At 43.2% G+C, this 22,320-nt stretch overlaps 1 protein-coding gene across 4 annotated transcripts in view, besides 1 other annotated feature; it reads right to left on the reverse strand.

The window, feature by feature from the left end:
- ZNF704 (zinc finger protein 704) overlaps positions 1-15,380 on the reverse strand; it is a 255,969-nt gene extending 240,589 nt beyond the window's left edge. For 2 of the 4 annotated variants that reach the window (XR_928797.3, NM_001367783.1), the window contains exon 1: positions 4,505-5,429. Coding sequence is in view for 2 of the 4 variants with exons in the window: in NM_001367783.1 (NP_001354712.1) it covers positions 4,505-5,005 (501 nt within the window). In the remaining 2 variants the exon portion in view is untranslated. Of the gene's footprint in view, positions 1-4,504; positions 5,430-5,531; positions 5,743-15,119 lie in introns of those variants that run through there. The other 2 variants (XM_017013725.2, NM_001033723.3) reach the window with 2 other exon arrangements.
- Positions 4,421-4,621: a silencer, noted in NCBI's record as "peak7088 fragment used in MPRA reporter construct". NCBI's record gives its function as "represses an SCP1 promoter by STARR-seq MPRAs in K562 erythroleukemia cells {active_cell/tissue: K562}" and the evidence as "EXISTENCE:reporter gene assay evidence [ECO:0000049][PMID:32103011]".
- Positions 15,381-22,320: the final 6,940 nt, after the last annotated feature.

Below are 22,320 nucleotides of genomic sequence, written 5' to 3' on the forward strand. Positions count from 1 at the left end.
CCTAACAGCTTTTTATCTTTAAATAAGTCGCTCATCCCTTCTGTAGAATGAAGTTGATAACAATAATGCCTGACTCGAGGATATGTAATGAAATTTAAATGAGACTATGCACTTGGATTTGTGCTGGCCCTGGTAAGCACTCAATAAATTTAGCTGGGATTATTTTTATTATATTACTCTATGCATGAGGCCATGGAATAAAGTTGGGAAAATCACATACCCAGACAGACTACTTGAACTATAAATGTGGAATCACAAACCTCAGTTGCGTCCTTGATACTGTCTGGCAACTCTATTCATCTCCCTAGTACATTTGCTCTCAATGCCTTCAGCTCTTACTTCAAATCTCCCTCACCCTCAGCTGATGACCTTCCTTTCTGCTACATGGAGAAAACAGAAGCCATCAGAAAACTACTGTCATCTGATCATCACCCAATATAGAAAATATACCCACATCTGGACTCATATTCTCCATCTTCTCTCCAATCTAATGGAGGAAGGTTCCCAAAGGCCAGCCCTTTACTTGGGTTTCAGGTTCCCTCCCTAAGGCTTTCCAAGGACTTTCCTCCTGTAGTTTTTTCTTTTCTCTACATCTTTGGTTCCTCCCTAAATGACCCCTCAATGATCCTCACCACCTGGTGTTTATAACCTTGTAAAATTCCCTCTCCTTAGGTTGTGGGTGGAACCTGTGACTTACTTCTAACCAACAGAATATGGCCAAGTTTCTGGCCTATTCCTCCTGACTACATTGCATTATGCAAGGCTCCATCTTGCTGGCAGGCAGGCTCTAAGATTCTCCTTGCTGGCTTGATGAAGTAAGAGGCCAAGCTAAGGAGTCCCATGTGACAAAAAACAGCAGTAAGTAGGGAAGGGGAGGGGGAGAAGAGCTCTACAAGCTGAGAACAACTTCCAACTGATAACCAGCAAGAAGCTAGGACCCTCAGTCCTACAGATGCAAGGGAATGAATTCTGCCAACAATCTATGTAAGCTTACAAGTTAATTATTCCCTGGTCAAGCCTTCAGATGAGAACTCAACCCATGTAGCACCCTGATTGCAGCCTTGTGAGACTCTTCACAGAAAACCTAGTTAAGCTGAGCCTAGACTCCTAACCCACAGAAACTCTAAGAACTGTTTTAAAGCAAAAAAAAATTTGTAGTAATTTGTTACACTACACTACAATAGAAAACTAATAACCCCTCTTCCACATAATTCCCATGATGCTTTAGTCATAACACTAGGGTCTACTGTATCCCATCTTTTAAAAAAACCTAGGCCATAGGCCTTCCAGCTATTCCTCCTCCTCTTTGTTCTCCTTTCCAAAAAACTTGTCAAAAGAGTTTTTCCTGTGTCCCTCTGTCCACACCTCTCATCGGCTGCTCAGCCTACTCCAAGCACATCACTCAAACTTCTCTTGTCAAGGACACTAGTAAGTTCCATCTTATCTAATCCAAATGAACATCTCTCTCTCTCTTTCTTATTCTATATCTCAGCAGCATTCAATACAGTTCATTACTCCCCACCCACTTTTTGGAACTATTTCTTCTCTTGGCTTATTGGACTTTAGATTTTCTAGTTTTCCTTCTACTTATTTGGCTGCTGCTTCTCAATAGTGTTTGCTGGCTTCTCCATTTACACCCAAACTTAAATAGTGCTGTGCCCCAGAATCAGGCCCCAGGCTCTCCTCTCTTGGCCCCCTGCACTCCCTTAAAGCCCCCAGGCTTTACATGACATTAACATACTGATGTCGCTCAAATTCCTCCCACTATCCCTGACCTCTCCTATCCACTCCCCATCTCACCACCATCTGCCTAACCACACCCTCCACCTGGTTGTCCAATAGTCATCTCAGAATTCACATGCACAAAACAGAAAACCTGATTTTTGTTCTCTCGGTTTTCCTAATCTTAGTAAATGGTACCTTCAACCAACATTTACATCATGGTCTCATCCTGGATTCCTCCCTTTCCTTCATTACCCATCAACCAACCCATCCACAAGTTCTTGTAGGTTGATCCTCACAATAGATTCTGAATTTGCCATCTCCTGCCAATCTCTAACTCCAAGCTGCCCTCTCCCTCCCTTGGTCTGTGTAGTGACAGCCACCCAACTGGCCTCCCTGCCTCTACTACTGTCCTCCACACAGCATGGATCTTTTGAAAACTACAAATTACCTTGTAAGACTTTATTGCTTAAAACTTTTCAAAGATTTCACTATCCTTTTAAAGGGCCCACCAGGCTCTCTTTGCAGGCACCTCCCAGCCTCCTTGACATATCTCATACCTACCAAGTTCCAGCCACACTCACCCTTTTCTCCTTTCCACCTCAAGACTTGCAACTGCTACTCCCTCTGCCTGGAAAGCTCTTCCCATGCGAAATGTCTCATATCTCAGGTCAAATGTTCCCTCCTCAGAGAGATCTCACCCACAGTAGCTTTCTCTTCTTCCTTTGAAACTCTAAGATATCATGATTTTCTTCACAGGACACACCACAATCTGAAGTGTTATTCTTGCTTATGCATGTACATCTGCATCTATGTATTTGATTGTTGCTATGATGCCTCTCACTAGATGTGAGCATCAGGAAGGTGTCCACTGCTATGTTCTAGAATAGCTGCTAGCACATAATAGGTGTTCAATAAATATTTGTTGAATAAATGAATGCATGAATATATGTAAGAGGTTAACATTCGTATATGCATTATAATAAAATTATCTAGTGATATTCCATTAGAAAATCTCTTCAGATACAGTGTCTTTAAAAGAGTAATTTAAAAGATAAACCTCAAATGACTCCAACATTCTGTGTAAATTTCTGAAGTTGTGGGCAAATGAGAGTGTTATAAAATGAAGCCCATTTTGAAAGAATTTAAAGGAAATTTACTTGAAGATGTGAAAAACCTTTACTGATCAAGTGAATTATCACACTCATTATTCTGTTTTTACGGATTTGATTTTTTCCCTATATTAAGCTTGTTTTCATCACAGAGCATAAATTATTATTGTTTCTATCACAAATTGTGCAATCACTATTCAAACCACAGGACACACTTTCAGTATTTCTGGACAAAAATGCTAAGGAGTCACTACTCTTGATATTCAATGTCACTGACACCATGTGACTTCATTTCAAACCCAGCTATATCTTGTAGCCATACAATGCAGGCTTTTCAACAGACCATGGTAATGAATGTGGTCACGGTTTGGATTTCAACAAGCAGCTGTCAAAAACTATCATCCCAAATAACTACTTGCTGAAAATTTCTCACTCCCAGAGCTGGTACTTCCAGGGTGGTCTAGGAAATAAATTTCTGCCCACATCTACTCTGGGGCTATTCTAATTGCCGATGTTCAACATTTCTTTGGAAATGCAACTTCAAGCTTTGAGGAGCTTTTTTTGGTGAGCCCCCAAAGCTTTTTTTAGTGGTCTCTAACTATTAAGCTCAGCTGTTCATGAGTTTTTTTTCTTCCTGAAATACCAATACCTTCTGAAAACTCTGGTAAAATGTTATTCAGCTGATTTTAGGAACCACTCTTGAGAAAAATCACTCACTCCATTGCTTACCACTTGCTGCCCTCAAAACTTCTTAGCAACATACACCGTGCATGAATCTCAACGTGGTTTGCTTTGTCCAATAGCATGCCTGAAAGCCCAACCAGTCAGTTGTGTAATAATAAACCCCTTATCTCCTGAAGATACACAAACGGAAAAATCTCTCGGCGCTTCAGTGTACAGGGGACTTCGCTAGAATTCTCAGCAGAAACTCACATCCAATTTAAATGCTACCCCCCACCCCCTTTTCCTGGTTTCCTCTTTTTTTCTCATTTGCAATTTTGAGGAGGGAAAAAAACCTCAAACGCTAAATGATGTCGAGTGGAAACACGGGAGGGCGAGGGTCAATGCCAAAAACTGCTAGCAAAATGCATGTGGAAACCAAGGGCTTGGATTTTGCTGTACTGGGTTTACCGGTTCTCTCACAAGCGCCTGTGATGGAAACTCATCGACAATTGTTCTTGGTTGGAAGAAGGGGCTGAGAGATTGACAAGAAACACCGCTTTCTGGTTTCAATAAGCTTGAATAGCCCTCAAAATAAGGAGAAGGGGACACTCCTTCCTTGGGGGAGAATAAAATCTCACTCTCCCCTGCCTCACCCGTCCCCACCGGGCACGAACCGGCGCCTCCGTGGTCCCATCACCCAAGTTCCCCACCTCACTGGGGAGAAGCGCCCTTTCCCGGCACCCACACCAAACAACAAACCCGACACGGCCTTTGAGGAAAGCGGGAGCCGCCGCCTGGGAGAGACGCAGGGGCCCAAGGCGCAGGCAAATCAACAGTTCCTCGCGCTGCCCCGCGCGGCCGCCCGCGCCGCCTGACACACCCCTCCTGGCCGGGTCTCTCCCCGGCGCCGCTGACCGTCCTCGGCCAGGCGCCTTGCCCCGGGGCCCGGGCCCGTCCCCCTCCCCGGGCTGGCGGGTCCCACGCGCGCCACCGCGCCCAACACGCACCTTCAACGCGCCCCGGGCCGGGCCCCTGGGGACTGCGTGGCCGGGTCCGAGGGGCACGAAACGCTCCTCGCCGTCCTCGTCGTCTTCGTCGCCGTCCACCACCTCGACGACCACCTCCTCGTCCTCCTCTTCCTCGTCGTCATCCTCCTCCTCCGCGCCCCCTCGGGGCTTCTCCTCCACACGCCCGAGCCCCCTCCGCCGCCTGCTCCCGCCCTCCTCGTCCTCGTCTTCCTCCCCTAGAAGCAGCAGCACCGGCGACGAGGCGGCGGCGGCGGCCCCGGTGGCCCGAGGGGGGCCGGTCCCGGCGCTGCGCGGCGGCGGCGGCAGCGGCGGCCTCCAGCTCTCCGGGGCGGGCGCCGGGGCCGGGCCCGGGACAGGGGGCGGGAGCCCGGGTAGGGCGGCTTCCTTGGCGGGCGCGGGCGCCGGCCCGGCAGGCTGCAGCGCGGCGCCCCCCCGGCGGCTGCCCAGGCTGGAGCGCTTGGCTAGACGCCGCGCCTGCATGCCTGAGCGCGGGGTTGCGGGCCGCGGCGCGGGGCCGGAGAGTTTGTCACCTCCTCTTCCTCCTCTGCCTCCGCCGGTGGCCGCAGGGCCGGGGACTCGCGGCCGCAAGGGGCTGCAGGAGCCGCCGGCCAGGACCCGCGGCTGCCACTGGCTGCAGAGGCGCGGGCGCCGCCTTCGCTGGACCGGCCGGCGGGGACGCCGGCGGCCGGCGGCTACGGCGGGGCGGCGCGGCGGCCGCGGGCGGGGGTGGGTGTGAGCGAGCGGCGCGCTGCCGCCTCCGCCGCCGCCGCCGCCGCCCGGGAGCCGCGGGCCGCGCTGCGCTCCATGCGGCCGGCGGCCGAGCCCGCGCGCGCCTCTCCCGGCCGGCTGCGCCCGCGCGCTCCGGGCCTACCGCTGCCGTGCCTCGGCGCGAGCTGTTTGTGTTGTATGTTTTCCACCACCGCCCCCCTCTTCGCGAGCCATTCCTCACAACCCTCCGGTCCCCCCGCTCAGACAAAACCCGGACTGGATTTTTTTTTTCTCTTACCCACAGTCTCCGAAAGTCTGGCGCTTCGAAGCAGTTGGCCCTGACACCAGGGCAAACGCTTAACCGCAGCCCATTCTTCCCTCCGGAGGGAGGGGAGTAGACTTCGCTGGAAGTAAGGTTGTCTGTCAAAGTTAGACTTTGAACGTAGAGATTTGCTACAAGTCATTTTAATGGACACTGATGTGCATGGCAGCTACTCCTGAGCTTGTGTGAAATCAAGGAAGGTGTACCAATCTGAGGTTTGGGATGAATTCCTAATATGAATCATCAGAGTCGCTTAGATTTTCGAAACACTGTTTCATGAGCGATTGTCTACCAATCTCACACTCTTTGAACGCACCACTCTAGGCCCTGCGATTGAGCTGCCTTGGCTCTGTGCTGAGTGTGTAGGTCTTTCAGCTTTTACTCCTGCTATTCTACCTTGAGTGCCTGATTTTAATGGCTGAATTCCAAGAAGCTTTCTGTTTGCACTGTCTGATCTGTAGACTCTCTTCTGGCATTGTTCAGGACTTTGAAGAAACAAATGGGTGGGAGTTCAAGATCGTTTGAGTTGGTTACTTAAGAAATTAATATGAAGTAAGACCAAATCTGGAAATCAAGCACATAACATGACTAATTTTGCCATTTTCTGACGATTTTTAGGTGTGATAAAGAAAATATATTTGCTATTGCGTGGGGTTAGGCTATGTAGTAAGTGGTATTTCTTCTTTTATTTATTTTAATTTTTATTTATATATATTTCTTTATTTTTCAGATGGAGTTTCGCTCTTGTTGCCAAGGCTGGAGTGCAATGTCATGGTCTGGGCTCACTGTAACCTCCGCCACCTGGGTTCAAGCGATTCTCCTGCCTCAGCCTCCTGAGTACCTGGGATTAAAGGCGCGCTCCACCATGCCATGCTAATTTTGTATTTTTCGTAGAGACAGGGTTTCACCATGTTGGCCAGGCTGGTCTCAAACTCCTGACCTCAGATGATTTGCCTGCCTTGGCCTCCCAAAGTGCTGGGATTACAGGTGTGAGCCACCGTGCCCGGCCTTAAGTCGTATTTCTTACATTCAAATCATACCCCCAATTCCATCCCTGTAGAGGAGGGCTGGGGAGGATCTTACGCATCAAATACCCTGGTAGGCACCTCCGTGGGGCCAGAATAAAAGGTGTATTCACCTTCAGTTAATTATTGTTGGACATTTAACATCATATGCTCTGTTAGACACTTGAATGGGGCTCATTAAATGCTCACTTATGGTGGCTTCCAACTGTTGAACAGGGATGATGACAAAGATTCTAAAATGAACTTTTTGTTCTCCCTGAATCAGATTAGCTTCCTGATGTACCTATTTCAGGTGATGAAACTCTCATTATAATCATTTGAGCCCAAAATAGCGGTATCATTTTAACTCCCTTCTCTACCTTATCCCTAGAGGCAATTGCCCACAAGTCCAACCCATTGTTCTTTCTAAAATGCATTTTGAATCCACCCCTTCCTTTCCATTCCCAAAGCTCTTACAGCATTTTGTGACTTCAAAAGTGGAAGTTTCTAACAGTTCTACACACCCATTTTCTCACCCACACACCCTCCCTTTCCCTCCTCAGATGCCACCACCAGATTTATGTTTCCGAAACCCCATTTAGATCACACCATTTTCTTGTTGGACTTTATATTTGTAAATATTCTGTTCAGGAATTCAGAGAGAAGAAAACAGAACATTAAGAGATGGGTGTGTCTGATCAAAGCATGGAATAGCAGGGGCTAGCCAATAAGTGAATAATCAGTATCAGCTAGAGTGTGCAAAGAATTAAGAAAGAACATTAAGGTGGTTTCATCCCAATTGGAAGAAATTTAGCTTCGTTGATTTGGGAGATGATTTTAGAGTGAGGCAGCAGGATCTTTCTCTGGCCATGAAAAGGAAAGATCGGGGCAAGGGGTGGGCAGACAGGTATGGAGGAGGTGGAGGAGGACAAAGGTGTGAGGCAAGCTGGCTAGTAGTTAGGCACATGGTCTCAGGAGCACCTAGGTCCGAATCCTGACTCTGGAACTTACCAGCTTTACTTTTACTCATCCTCTTTCTGTGCCTGTTTCCTCATCTGTGAAATGGGGATCATAGTAGTAAAGTTGTTTTGCAGAGTAATGAGTGAATAAATGCAATCAGCTTACAAGAGTGCCTGGGACAAGCTAGGGTTTATATGCGGGCTTATCATACTAAACATTGTAATGGTAGGTAAACAAGGTGGCTTGGGATACTCTCAGAGAATAACAAGGTAGCTCTCTTTTAAGTAAGCTCAGTAATGTCAGTAACTAGCAAAATGTGCTTTTAAAGACCAACAACTTGTCATCGGAGGACCATGGTCAGGCCAAGCATGTAGCTTTTTGTGCCTAAAATTGCTATAGATGAAAGAAAGTAAATGTTTTCCTGAGAACCTAGAGGAAATACAGAGTTAAATGAATTGGTGATTGGCATTTGTGACTTAGTGAAAGATGATACACTATTGTACATTCTTTTAAAATTGCTGTATATGCTTTGAAATCAGCTTATTGTTTCTCTTAGGCCACTTCAATAGACTTCATAGACATCCATTCCCTGGCCCCACATTGCTGGAAAGGCTGCCTCTGAATGGGAAAAAAAAAAAAAAAAAAAAAAAAAAAAGACCTGGCCTTGGCTTTCAAACCATTAAATGAAGGCTAATGTCAAAAAAGAGGTTTCACCCAAGCTGGGCTTTGAGGGATGAGAAGGATCTGTTCAGGCAGGGAGAGCAGCATTGTCTAGGCAAGTGCAGGCCACTGAAGACCACCCTCATTAAATCAGAGGACACTTAGTGGGAATAAAATCAAATTAACTCATCAGGAATCAAGAAAAGATCTCATGATGTGGGCACATGACACACTACATGCATGACATGGGCTCAGAAGTCAAAAAGTATCTTGTGATGCCAAGCAAGTGGGGAAGAGTCATTGCTGCTTCTTTCCCCCACATTCCCTAAGTGTAACACATTTTTTTCTTCCAAAACTGGGAGCGCTTGCCACTCAGAATGAGGAAATGTGCCTCTGAGCCATGGGATAAAGAAGGAGCCCCTCCAGAACAGTTGGATTGAACACATCCTCATCTAAAACATTTCATCGTTCATTCTGCATGGATTTGTTGAGTCCTGACAAGTGCCAGGTCTTGTTCTTGGTGCTGGCGTGCAGCAGCGAACAAAATAACCCTCCCTCGGGGAGGAAGCAGACAATAATCAAAGAAGATAAGTGAACAATATGATTTTGTGGAGGCATTAAGTGTCTACATGAAAAAGTAAGGGAAAAATAAAAGGAGGGGTAGAAGGTGCTGGAGGTTTAGTATAAAGAAATGTGCATTTCAAAGCGTATTTCTTTATATTAAAACAGACATAAGAATAGTGTGAAGTTTAGTGTGAACTTTGAATGAAAACTCGCAGCCCTGGACTCTGTCTTCTTCCTGCAGATAGAATCCATTCTCCCCTACTGTCCGCGTGCTTTGGTCAAAGTTTGAGAAGCACTGCTGCGGAAGAACGAGAGTAGGCTTTGGAGTGAGCATCACTCCCTAAACACATAGTAGCTGGCTGGCTCCTGTCTGGTTTCTTCAGATCTCCAGTGATTCTTAAACCTTTGAGTTCTGAGCCCTAAAGATAACTAAAACATTTTTTTTACATGTATCAGAAAGAAAGAGAAAGAAAGGAAGGAAGGAAGGAAGGAAGGAAGGAAGGAAGGAAGGAAGGAAGGAAGGAAGGAAGAAAATCAGGCTCAATTTGACATTATGTTCAGTGTTTTTTTAAAATTTAAGATTCAGCAAAATAATCATGTTTCCAAAATCAAGAGGTGTAACCATAGCCAGAACAAAACATATAACAAATTTGTACCCACTGGTGGTAGTTCTTTTTTGTCCCTGTGAAACTTTAATAGTTGGATTTGTTGAGATTAGTAGCTCCTTTTAAAAATTATTTTAAAAGTAAAAGTAAAATTTTGCCCTTTAAAAAGCTTATGAAAGTAAGATTAGCTTAGTTTTTCCACAGTTCTGGGAAACTTAAAAATGATTTCATTTGATGACTGTCATCCCACCGTATGAAAAATAGATTAAGGTTAAGAGAATAACTCATCTATTACAACCTTCAGGCTGAAAGCCTGTCTAAGTCAAGCATAATCTCCACCCAGATAAATGTTTCTTCCATGAGCAATTAACTTAAACTCTCTTTCAAAACACACAGTACTTTCAAAATACTAGTTCCTTACAATACCTCTCAAAGACTTAGGTTTTTTTTTTAGTGAGTGTTAAAATGATAGCATTGCCTTCTTATTTATGTAACACATATTTACTATTTCAGTAGGTGCAATTTTGTCTTTGTTGTTTCCTGATCAGTTTAGTCATCTCATATTGGCACTTGAGAGGCAATAAATAGAACGCTGGATTGAGATTCCAGAGATTTGAGTTGAATCATACTGTGGGGATTATTAGCCATGGAACACTAGTTAAGTCCCCTGATCTCTGCAGAGTTCACAACTCTAATATGAATGAGTTGTGCTCCCCAAGGAGCTCTCTCATTTTAACTCTCAAGTTCCATGATATAAAATGTCAACTTGAAGTCTGTTTTAAGATTAAGCCAAATACCCATTATTAAAATCCACAAATGGAGTCTAGTGTGTATGTTAAGAAATGCATGTCAATTTTTTTTTTTTTTGAGATGGGGTCTCGCTCTGTTGCCCAGGCTGGAGTGCAGTGGCTCAATCACAGATCACTGCAACCTCTACCTCCTGGGCTGAAGCTGTCCTCCCACCTCAGCCTCCAGAGTAGCTGGGACCACAGGCATGCAACACCACGCTCAGCTAGTTTTTGGGGGTTTATTTGTTTGTATTTTTAGTAGAAGCAGGGTTTCACTATGTACAGGCTGGTCTTGAACTTCTGGGCTCAAGTGATTCACCCACCTCAGCTTCTCAATGTGCTGGGACTGGGTGTCTCTTTTAAGCCAATTCTAGGTGCTGTCTGTATCTTAGGACTGCCATCTCTGTTCCTAACAACATCACCCTTAATTTCATGAGCCTTCCCTGCTTCGTTGGGAATACAGAAATTATAAAATTATGCATTTTCTTGTTACCTTCTTATTTTGCTAGTTATTTCTTCAGTAATAAGATGCCTAACAGCCATGAACCAAGTAGTTTCTATGTTTTATTATTTGTATTAACCTCCCTTTCCACAAACTGATAATTGTTCAATCTAAGATGTGTAATTATTTCCTACTAATGATATTTTCATATCTCTGAGGCTTTTCTCTCCATCTTCCTTTTCTTACAGCTTTTTTCATGCAAGACCCTTCTGGTGTCAGTAACTGCAATCCTACTCACACTAAAGAAAAAAAACAGGGCAGAAGAGGAATTTATCAGCTTGGGTAATCCAACCACACATGAACCTGAGCTTGGGAAAATTAGATGTGGGGCTTTAAGTGATGTGTGGTCCTCTGTCTTTCTGTCTCTGTCTCTGTCTCTGTCTGTCTCTTCTGTCTCTCTCCTTCTTTCTCTCTCTCTCTCAGAGTGTGTGTGAAACTTATTTCATTATCTGGCCGACTAGAGCCAGATCCACAGGCAGCTCTGGCCACACACTTGTCCACCTTGTGAACAGGTGCAGAGGAAGTCTTTGCTATGTGCATCAGCTGGAAAAATCCCAGTGAATGATTTCTGGATGGCCCAGTCCGAATCATGAGCGGACACTTGTGGCCAAGGGTGGATGGCTGTGATGGATGGCCTGCACCAAACCATGTAGTTCAAGAGAAAAAGAATGATTACTGTATTGAGCAGAAAAAGAACATGAAAGGCCACCATATGTTATAAATATAATCAATACTATCACAAATCTGAAACATACAAATTTGTAGAAGGGATAAAAGTCACATCTAACCTCCCTACCCAAAGATAACCCCTGTAATTGTTTTTGGTATATTTATTTTCATTTCTTTTCTATGCATCATCCTTTTTGTCTCACATTATTTTTCCACCTAATTTTATAATGAGAGATTTTCTTTTGCACATGGTGGTATATAACTTGTAGATGTTTATGGAGCTAGTAGGGTAAAAATGAATCATAAAAATATTAACAGAATATATGCATGAATATTTTTATAACCTCTAGGGAATGATAGCCATTTTAAACTTGATACCAAGTCAGGGCCATAGCCAAAAGGTGATATATGATCACAAAAAACTTGTAGACTTTTTCACAAAAGACACCATTAAAAAGTTTTAAAGTAAGTGAAAGATAGAAAATATTATCAACATAAAATCAAGAATTAATATGCAGCAAAATGCAAATAATTCAGTGTTACTAAAACACTTAGATATAATATTTGCTTACCAGGCTTGTAGAAATTCTAAAGCTTTGATACTATTCAGGGTTACTGAGAGTATGAGTATGCTGTTATATGTATCCATGACATGGCTGTATTCTGCTGCAGTATCTGTCATGCTTCTCAAAGACTTAGGTTTTGTTTTAGTGAGTGTTAAATGGTAGCTTTGCTTTCTTTTTTATGTAACACATATTTACTATTTCAGTGTGTGCAATGCAGTTGCCAGTTGAAACCAGCAATTCCATTTCTAGTTATTCATCCTAGAGGAACACTGTGCCTAGTGGCACAAAGGAATACAGAGAGGATACTTATTACAGCACTGGTTTTAATACCAAAATATTGAAAACCGCATAAATATTCATCAAAATGAGAATGATTTAAAAAGAAGTCTTTGACGATGTACAAACCACTATGCAGCCACTACAAAGAGTGAGGGAAGTCACTGTGTGCTAAAAGAGAAAGGAGGAAAGGACTCATGTATTTTTAAGTGAAAAGAACAAGCTATAAAATACTTTTTTACAACATAATCTCATTTGTATTTAAAACACCCTACAAAATATACTATATACATCTATTAATACATAGCGTAAAAAAAAATACATAGTGTGATTTCAGATGGATATGGGGAAGCCTCCGTAGGATACCTGCTAACCTCTGGGGAGGTGAACAGGCTTCAGGGAGGAGACAAAGGAAGTCTCCCACTTTCCCTATTTTTTTGCCTTGTTAAAAAGAATAGGCAGGGCGCAGTGGCTCATGCCTGTAATCCCAGCACTTTGGGAGGCCGAGGTGGGCAGATCACCTGAGGTCAGGAGTTCAAGACCAGCCTGGCCAACAAGGCAAAATCCCATCTCTACTAAAAATACAAAAATTAGCCGGGCATGGTGGTGGGCACCTGTAATCCCAGCTATTCGGGAGGCTGAGGCAGGAGAATCACTTAAACCTGGGTGGTGGAGGTTGCAGTGAGCTGAGATAGCGCCAGTGCAGTCCAGCCTGGGCAACAGACCGAGACTCTGTCTCAAAAATAATAACAATTAAAAAAAGTGTATTCAAATATTACAGTTAATTTAAAAATAAAGAGTAAAAACTCTTCATAGCAAAATTCTTACTACAGAATATTGTGTCAAGCTGTGCAATGATTTCACCACATCTTGCTATGTAATATAGTGCCGCCAACCTTTGTACAGAAAGTATTATATACCTTTTGGATTCTTTCCTTAGGATCAGTGCCAGAAGTAGAATCAGTTGGTCAAATAGCATGCACATTTTCTTGATACGTTTGACTAGACGGCTTTACGAAAGAGTTTGCTGCAATGTGCACTCTGAAAACCACAAGAAAGTGGCTGGCGTCCTGCATGCTCTCTTACTTTAATCATGTCTTTTTCTATCATTCTCTCCCTTGCCACTTTGACAAATGTTTCATGAAATTTCATTTTGTTTTAATTTATGTCTTTGATCATTAATGAAGAAAAATAGTTTCCCATGTGTTCAAGTTTTACTTCCCCTTCTGCACATTATTTTCTTATCCTTTGCCCATAACCCTGATAGAATCAGAGTTTTTCATATCCACTTGTGTGAGCCCTTGGCATTAAAAACCCTATTGCCATATTTTCTGCAAATACTTCTCTAGCTTTGTTGTTCAATTTCTTCACATTTTCTTGCTAATTCTTTAGATTTACATATGGGCCTTTCTTTTCCTTTCTTCATTGAACTTATTTACAAATTATTCCTGTTTTCCACCAATGTTTGTACTAATGACCTCTGCTAGACTTCATCCATTATCATTTTCCTTCAATTTTGATTTCCTTTTATAAATTGACCTGCAGCAAGTCTTCATTTCAACGACTACTATTTTTTTACTTGCTTATGTCACATCATAATTTCTTTTTACTACAGTGATGTGCTATTGCTGGGAAGAATTTTTAAAGTTTAGTTTGCAGATTTGATTCTCATTTACTTAGTTATTGCTTACATGCCTTTCTTTCTGTATTTTAATTAATAACCCTTAATTAATCCTTCATCCTAATAGAAATATTTCTAGGCTTAATGGCCAGGTGTGGTGGCTCATGCCTGTAACTCCAGCACTTTGGGAGGCCGAGGCATGTTGATCACCTGAACTCAGGAGTTCAAGACCAGACTGGGCAACATAATGAAACCCTGTCTCTACAAAAAAAAAAAAAAAAAAAAAAAATTAGCCAGGCATGGCAGTGCACACCTATGGTCCCAGCTACTCAGGAGGCTGAAGTGGGAGAATTGCTTTAGCCTGGGAGACAGGTTTCAGTCAGCTGAGATCACGCCACTGCACTCCAACCTGGGTGACAGAGTGAGACACCCTCTCAAAAAAAAAAAAAAAAAAAAGAAAGAAATATTTTAAGGATCAAATAATAATTAGCATAATACCTCTAATAAGCAATGTTTTCCAAAATACTAAACCTAGCCATTTTAATGTATTTAACATTAATATAAATGTGAGCATACAAATGGCTCACCTGCTAGAACATTCTGCAGTGATGGAAATGGTCTATATCTGTGCTGTTCAGTAACAGCAGCCACCAGCCACATGCAGCTATGGAGCACTTGCAATGTGGCTGCTGCAAATAAGGAATAGAAGTTTTAATTTTATTTACTTTTAATTAAAGTATGAATAGCCACATGTGACTAGTGGCTATCATGTTGGATGATGAAGGCTCAAACCTTCCAAGGGTCATTTTCTACTTTCCAGATCCATTTTTAGGTAGATCTGACTGAGAAAATTTAAAAAAGAAAAATCACACCCAGGATTCTTTGCTGCAAATCGAAACTACCATAACTATGTTTTTTTCTCATCTATCTACCTAATTTTAAAAATTAAATGTTTTGAATTTGAGCTTATTTTTAACAACTCTCATTTATTACCTTCATCAGGTTTCCAATTAGGGTATTTCGAGGTTTGATGACAGATGTCAAAAGCTCCTAATCTATCCCCTTTGCCTCCAGTGCTATTTTTATCTACACCATTTTAGTTTCTATGTTTGTTATTTTATCTCAAGCTCTTCCAGGGGAAGAAGTACCTAAATTAACCCCAGCAACCTATCATGGGAGTCTTGAAAGCCATAAAATAGAATGAGACATCAGCATATGCTGATATAAATGCCACTGGGATTTCTTAAAAGCTAGTCATAAATTTCTTTTTGTTGTTATGCCTGTTAATATGAAAAAATTGAGAGTGAGACAGAATTTTGTAAGAAGTGTAAAAATTCCTCGGTACTTACCATACTTGCCAGGATAAAGAATTTTCCTTAAACCATTGTAGATATAAAGACTGTCCTTCCGGTCGACAATGTGCAAGAAAGAAGGAGGGCTGGGGAAGGCAGTGGGTGGAGCAGCCTTGATTACCTTCCATTTCTTTGACTGTGGATGCAGAGGTTACTTGCAACATTTTTGTCGCATTCCTATAAAAGCTATGGTGGAGCTGCTTGTCCCACCACCTCCTCCATATAAACCCCATTATCCTCATGCCCCCAGTGGCTCCATATATTTATCTAGTCACGGCCATCCTGCCACCTGATATCTTGCTTCCTATTGCCACACAGCAGGCAAAGCTGGCTTGGCCGAAGCTGGAATTTCAATCAAAACCTTTATTTCAAAATAAATACTGTTTCTCCTTGCTGCTTTCCAGAACTTAAGAGGAGTGAGGAGAAGAAAAATAAAGAGAAACAGGAAAGGAAGAAGAAGAAAGAGGAAGGGAGAAGAAGAGTGACCAGCAAGAAAAACACAAGAATAGTCTTGGGTCTTCGCTAATTTATTATGTTATATATAAAAATCCACACATACACAAAAAGGTTTTCGTCTATTTATCCTGAGTTGCCACTTTCCCTTATTCAGTTTTCAGTGCAGAGAGGAAATAGCTAGTGATGATCTTGGATATAAAAATAATGATCCTTAATATTTGTTTCCAAATCTTTTCCAATAGGTTTTCAATACAGAGTTCCAGCCACCACACCATAATCATTTTACCTATGTTGTTTCACAAGGTTTTTTCCAACATTACTTCTGCGTTATTCTACTATAAGTGATACCATTTTCTCATCAGCATTAAATGCCTTTATCTTATTCTCAATTCATGTTCAGCTTGTTTCTCCTAATGATCTCTGTATCCCTTTTACATACCTTGCAAATAATCAGTGATCCCCTACCCAGGGTATTTATATCTTCTAGAATCTAAAATCCAATGTCACCCTAAGTGTATGAGCTGCCATCTTTCAGAATAGCATTCAGCTTGTGTTTTTTTAGGCCTGTAGATATTCCTGGCCAGGCTACATAATTTGCAGAGCCCAGGATAAAATAAATATGCAGGACTCCTTGTTCAAAATTATCATGAATTTCAAGACGGAGACAGAAGGGCGTTAAACCAAGCATGGGCTCTTCCAAGCAAGAGGCCCTGGGTGACAGTACAGGCTGCATGTCTAGGAAGTGGGCCTTGTCTCCAGCTTTTTCATATAACAGTGGGAATGGTGGGTACAATATACTTGAGGCAAAGCTGTGTGTCTTAGGGTGTCCTCCACTTCATTTCTTCAGACTCTCCTTTAGGATCTTGTTGGAAAAACTCTGAAGTTTTGAGCAAGTGAGGTATGTGGTTCAATGTGTATGTTAGGAAGGTATTATGGCAGCAGCATAGAAGGGAGACCTGAAGGGAATAGTCATAGAGTCAGGGGGACCTGCTTTAGTCCAGGGGAAATGAAGAGGGTCTGAAGTAAAGCTACCACAGAGGATAAATTGAGGTGAGGGTGGATTTGAGAAATATTTCCAAAGCAGAAATCAACCAAACCTGGTGACCAACAGGATGTGGGCAGAACAAGAAAAGAAGGAACCAGGGACAATTGTCTGTTTTGAACTACAGGGACTAGGTGATCTTAGTGCTAGTCACTGAGGTTGGGGAGCAGGCTTGGTGGGGGACATAGCACCATTTAGGAAATATCAAGTTTCAGATGCCCACAGACATCCAGGTGAAGTTGCGTGATAGTTGTTTGATGTTTAAGAGATAGATCTGGGGGCCGGGGGCGGTGGCTCATGCCTGTAATCCCAGCACTTTGGGAAGCCAAGGCAGGCAGATTGCTTAAGGTCAGGAGTTCCAGACCAGCCTGGCCAACAGGGTGAACCCCCCGTCTCTACTCAAAATACAAAAAATTAGCCAGGTGTGGGGGTACACACCTGTAGTCCTAGCTACTCAGGAGGCTGAGGCAGGAAAATCGCTTGAACCTGGGAGGTGGAGGTTGCAGTGAGCTGAGATCGTACCACTGCATTCCAGCCTGGGTGAAAGAGTGAGACTCTGTCCCCACCCCCCCACCCCCCCAAAAAAAAGGAGAAGAAAAGAAAAAAAAGAGATCTGGAGAGGGTATTGGTGAAGGGGCTGGGCTGGTCCTCAGCCTATTTGACATCAGGGCCATTCCTTGCCCTTCCCCCGCTCTGCTATCTGTCACTGGTAGCCCTCCTCTGTAGGCCGTTTCTCCTGGCTCCTTTCTCAGGGGCATAGGTAGGAAACTGGAGAGGGTTAAGCAGGAGCCAGGGAATTTCTCCCCATCTCTCTGCTGTAGGGCTGTCCTCCCACTGGGCTTATATCCTCCAAGACTCCAGCTCTCCCTGTTTCCACAGGTCAAGAAGCCACTGGCTGTGATAGCCCCACCTCTTTTTGTCCCTGTAGCCTAAAAGTGTAGCAGGTTCCTGTCCTTACTGATTCCTGTCTCAATAACCCGTCTATTTTCTCAGCTCTTCCATCACCAGTGGGGATGAAGTTTCTTGTATTTTTAAACACTTTTTATGTTTTCCTGCTTGGACCCTGTCTGTGTAGGAATGATGAGCCTACAGCGATGTTTGCCAAAGTAACTGAATGTGCCTTGAGATTGTAGATGGGGACTGAAAATTGCCACAGAATTTGGTAACGAGTTGGTGATGCTAACAAGAGAATGAAAGCCAGATTGCTGTGGATTTTTTAAATTGCTGGGAATCGAGGAAGTAGCGAATGGACATTTCAGATTTTTATTTTTTTAAAATGTATTATTAAAGGAAGGAGCAAAGGAAATAAGATAAAGAGAAAGAAGTTTTGAAGATGAGAAATTGGCAGTGGCCCCAAGTAGAATGAGAGATGGAGCAGATACAGGTGACAGCCAAGTCATGGCTTGATGAAAGAGCAGCTGAAATTGGCTCCCACAAATGGTGTTTCTGCTGCAGGACTGTGTGATAGTCTCCAGTGTCTCTCAGGAGTGAAGAAAGTGAACTCAGTGGCTATAAACTGTGGTTCTCAAAGTATGGTCCATGGACCAGCAGCAGCTGCTGCAGCCCCTGAAAACCTGCAAGAAATGCAAAACCTCAGGCCACACCCCAGGCCAACTGAATGAGAAAACCTGGGAGTGGGACTCAGCCATCTGGTTGAAGAGACCCTCCAAGTGATTCTAATGAAAGCTAAAGTTGAGATTGACTGCCAGACCATTGCTACCCAAAGTGTGGTCTGCCATCATGCAGCATCAGCATCATTTGGGAGCTTATTAGAAATGCAGAATCTCTGTCCTCTCCCTCACATCCAAATCAGGAGTTTAATAAGATCCCCAGGTGGCTCCTATGCATATTAAGCAGCATTGAACTTAGGGACTTATTCTCCTCATTGGTATTTGTAGATAGCCAGTGATTCTTGAGGACCTAAATGAGAGGGTAACTTTTAGTGGAGTAATTTCAGGTTTGATTCAGATGACAGGAGAGATATCAGATTTTGGAGGCTGAGAACCCTGCCCGACACCTTTCAAATGATACCATATAGGTGGCTGGATCTGCTGTCCCTTCTCACGGACTGCACTTGAGACAGAAATGGAAAATTATAATGCAAAACAAAACAAAATGCAGCTCTGAAGGTCAGCCCTCAGGAAAGGTTATTGAGTGTCTACTATATGTCCTAAGTTCTTTGGTGGACCCTGAAATGCCCCGACTGTTGCTCAGTTCCTATGCTTAGGAGCTCCCAGTCTAACAGAAGATACAGATGCATGAACACATTATTATGATCCCTCTGGTAAAGGCATGATCCGGATCTGCAAGGGAATTTGGGGATCATGGAGGAGAGAGCCAGACGGCCACAGTGGGTCAAGGAAAGCTTGTTGGATGAAGTCCTGCCGGAGCTGAATGAGTGGGGATCTACCAGATGATGAGGTGGCAGAAAGAGACATTCCAGGGAGAGGTGGCCTCAGGAACAAAGGCACAGAGACAACAAAGAGTTTAGGATCTCCACTCTGGGGGCAGGAACATATTCTTTACAAGGCCAGGGTGCGTCTAATTAAAAAAAAAACAACCCACAGTTATTTTTGACATTTTCAATCCAAAGACCACGTAGTCCTACTTTTGAGCATGACTCTTTGTGTAGGGCTTAGGCTAGGCTGCTGTGATGGAAGAATTCTGCAATGGCCGCAGCATTGACATCACCCCATGTCACATGTGAATCAACAGTCCTGAGAGAGGGAAGTTAAGCCCATGTTAGGTGGTCTACGGAGAAGCTCCTCTATTGTCACATTCTCTCTTCTTCTTAACCCAGAAACCATGATTTTGGTGGCACAGAGAAATGTGAACACTCAGGTTAAAAACACTTGACACCCTCATTTCTCCACTCAGATCACTGTGCCTAAAGGCACACCCATGCACCCAGACCAGCAACACCAACCCTCTCTCTCTGCACCCCTGTGTTATGTGATCTTAGCTGTGCTCATGGTGAACTCATGCCAGAATACACCAGAATGACTATCTGAAGATTCTTTCCCAAGAACCTCAGCTCTTCCCCCTTGCAGAAGGTGGGCATGGGTTTCAGGGCCCAAGGGTATTCTGCCTCAGTGATGTTTAGCTTTTATACATTTATGCTGGAGTATATGTTTTTTTTCTTTTTGAGACAAGGTCTGGCTCTATCACCCAGGCTGGAGTGCAGTGGTGGGATCTTGGCTCACTGCAACCTCAGCATCCCAGGCTCAAGCCAGCCTCTGACCTCAGCCTCCCAAGTAGCTGGGACTACAGGTGTGCACCACCATGCCTGGCTAATTATTGTATTTTTTTTTTTTTTTTTAGAGATTGGGTTTTGCCATCTTGTCTAGGCCGGTGTCAAACTCTTGAGCTCAAAGCAGTCCACCTGCCTTTGGCCTCCCAAAATGCTGGGGGGTTACAGGCATGAGCCACCATGCCTGGCCTATATGATGTTTTTATATTATAAAAGGATCCTTCAAGAAAGAGACAGATGTCTTATGTCTTATATTTGTCCCTCATGGCATCTCCAATTTTACAAGGGTGCCCACTCAAATACTCAATTTTGTACAACGAAGTATTGCTCGAAGGAGGCACATTAGCCTGAAGCAGTCTCAGTCAATGTTAGTTCAAAATTTTTCCAGAGGCCATTTGATGCATTCAGTAAAACCAAGAGTCAAAGAAATTTAACTTAGATTTGGCCATTTTCCCGGAATCACCACTGATGGATGTTGCTGGAAATGAGAAATCTATATACCACCTTATAAAGCAAGATGGTGTGTGATTTTGACTTGTAGACCACAAGCAGGAGATTGATTTTTTTGTGGTTAGGATAAAGTATCCAGAGGCAACATCATATACAGGCCCCAAAAGTGCTGCATGTCAAACAGCTTATCTGGAGGTGAATATGACGTGGTTTGCAGAACTGTTAAAGTTTGGGAAAGTGGTTCTAGTGATGGCAGAGACCTGATGTAAAAGACTCGTGTGAAAAGTTTTAATAAAATAGATTCAAGGAGTGTGAGAATGGCAAAAAGCAAAGTATTATTTTATAAGATGCTTTTTAAAAAATATTTACCTGTAACATTTAATGAATAGTATTTTTCTAACCTAGTCACACACACTATAAGGTAATAAGTTCAATTCAGTCTACCTGTTGAGTGGCAGACTCATATATTTGATATCCAACACAATAGTTGGATGTCTATTAGGCATCTCAAACTTAACAGGACTGAAATAAATTCTTGGTTTTCTTTTCAAACTTGTTTCTTCCCCAGTTTTGCTCACTTTAATAAGTGGCACTGCAATTTACCTGTTAGTTTAAGATAAAAACTTAGAAGTCATTCTCGACCTCTCTTTTTCTCCCACATCCCAGATTTATCTTCAAAATACATCCTAAATCCAACCAATCCCACCACCTCCACCACTATGATATTTATCTAGCACTTATCATCCCTAACCTGGACTACCTCCTAACTAGTCTTATTGTTTCACTTTTGTCCTCCTACAGGCAGACCTCCACATAGCAGCCAAATTGTGTAAAATATACAAAAAATAAAGTATGCCCCTCCCCTGTCCAAGAGCCTCTGATAGTATCCCATCACACTGAGAAGATATCCAAATTTTCCTTCTGAGGCCCAGAAGACCCTATAATTATATTACTATCTCCATCCCACCTCTCAGTAACCTGCTCTCCTTTCCCTCCTACCTATCCACATTGCCTTCTGTCTTCCTTCATTACACTAAACTCATGTTCATATCAGGCTGTCACACTTCTAGTCCTGTCTGCCAGAACACCCTGCTTCCAGACTTACCACGACCTGCTGGCTCCTGAGCTTCATTCAGGCATCTGCTCAAATATGTCCTTAAAAAGGCCTTTCCTCACCACCCTGCTAAAATTGCACTTCAAACCTGATTCTTTTTTTCTTTTGAGCACTTATTACCAGCAGCTCTATGACATTGAGATATTGTCTGTCTTGTTCATCCCTCTGTCCCTAAAATAGTGCTTAGCATTTATAGTTGCTTAAACATTTCTTTCCTGAATTTAAAGTAGTACTTGACTATTCCATCTATATCCCCATAAGAATGGTTAACCATTCTAGTGGGCCAAGAAACTTTTTTGTGAATCTTTCTGTTGGAAGATCTCTAGTGGTTCTCAAATTTCACCACGCATCAGAATCACTTGGAGAGTTTGTTAAAATACAGATTAATGGCACACAGCCTCAAAGTTTCTGATTTAAAAAATGTGGGTTGGGGTTGGAAAATTTGCATCCTAACAAGTTGCAAGGTGCTGCTGTGGCTGCTGGTCCAGGTACCACACTTTTAGAACATAAGAAACAACTGGTCCAGGTACCACACTTTTAGAACATAAGAAACAACTGAGTCACCTCTGGCAATGCCACTTCTTCACATTTTCTCTTCCCAATCCCTCGACCCTTTTTTCATTTGCCAGTAGCACCACAGAAAGCCATAGGACTTGTGCCCCAGATCTACTCCTCACTAGGACAACCTTGTGATATGAAGCACTTGAGGACCAAGGCTTCCATTCCTCCACTCCCAGGATTTTGCGCTGTACTTCTCAGGTTTTGCACAAAGTCGTAGAAGGAAAAGTGTTTGTGGAGCATTGTGCATTCTAATGATGTCAAAATTTGTAAAAGGAATGCCTTTTATCCTCATCCCCTGCCAGGCTTTAAGCCAGTGCTTTCTGCA

This window comes from Homo sapiens, chromosome 8, assembly GCF_000001405.40.
Source record: "Homo sapiens chromosome 8, GRCh38.p14 Primary Assembly".
Lineage (NCBI taxonomy): Eukaryota > Metazoa > Chordata > Mammalia > Primates > Hominidae > Homo > Homo sapiens.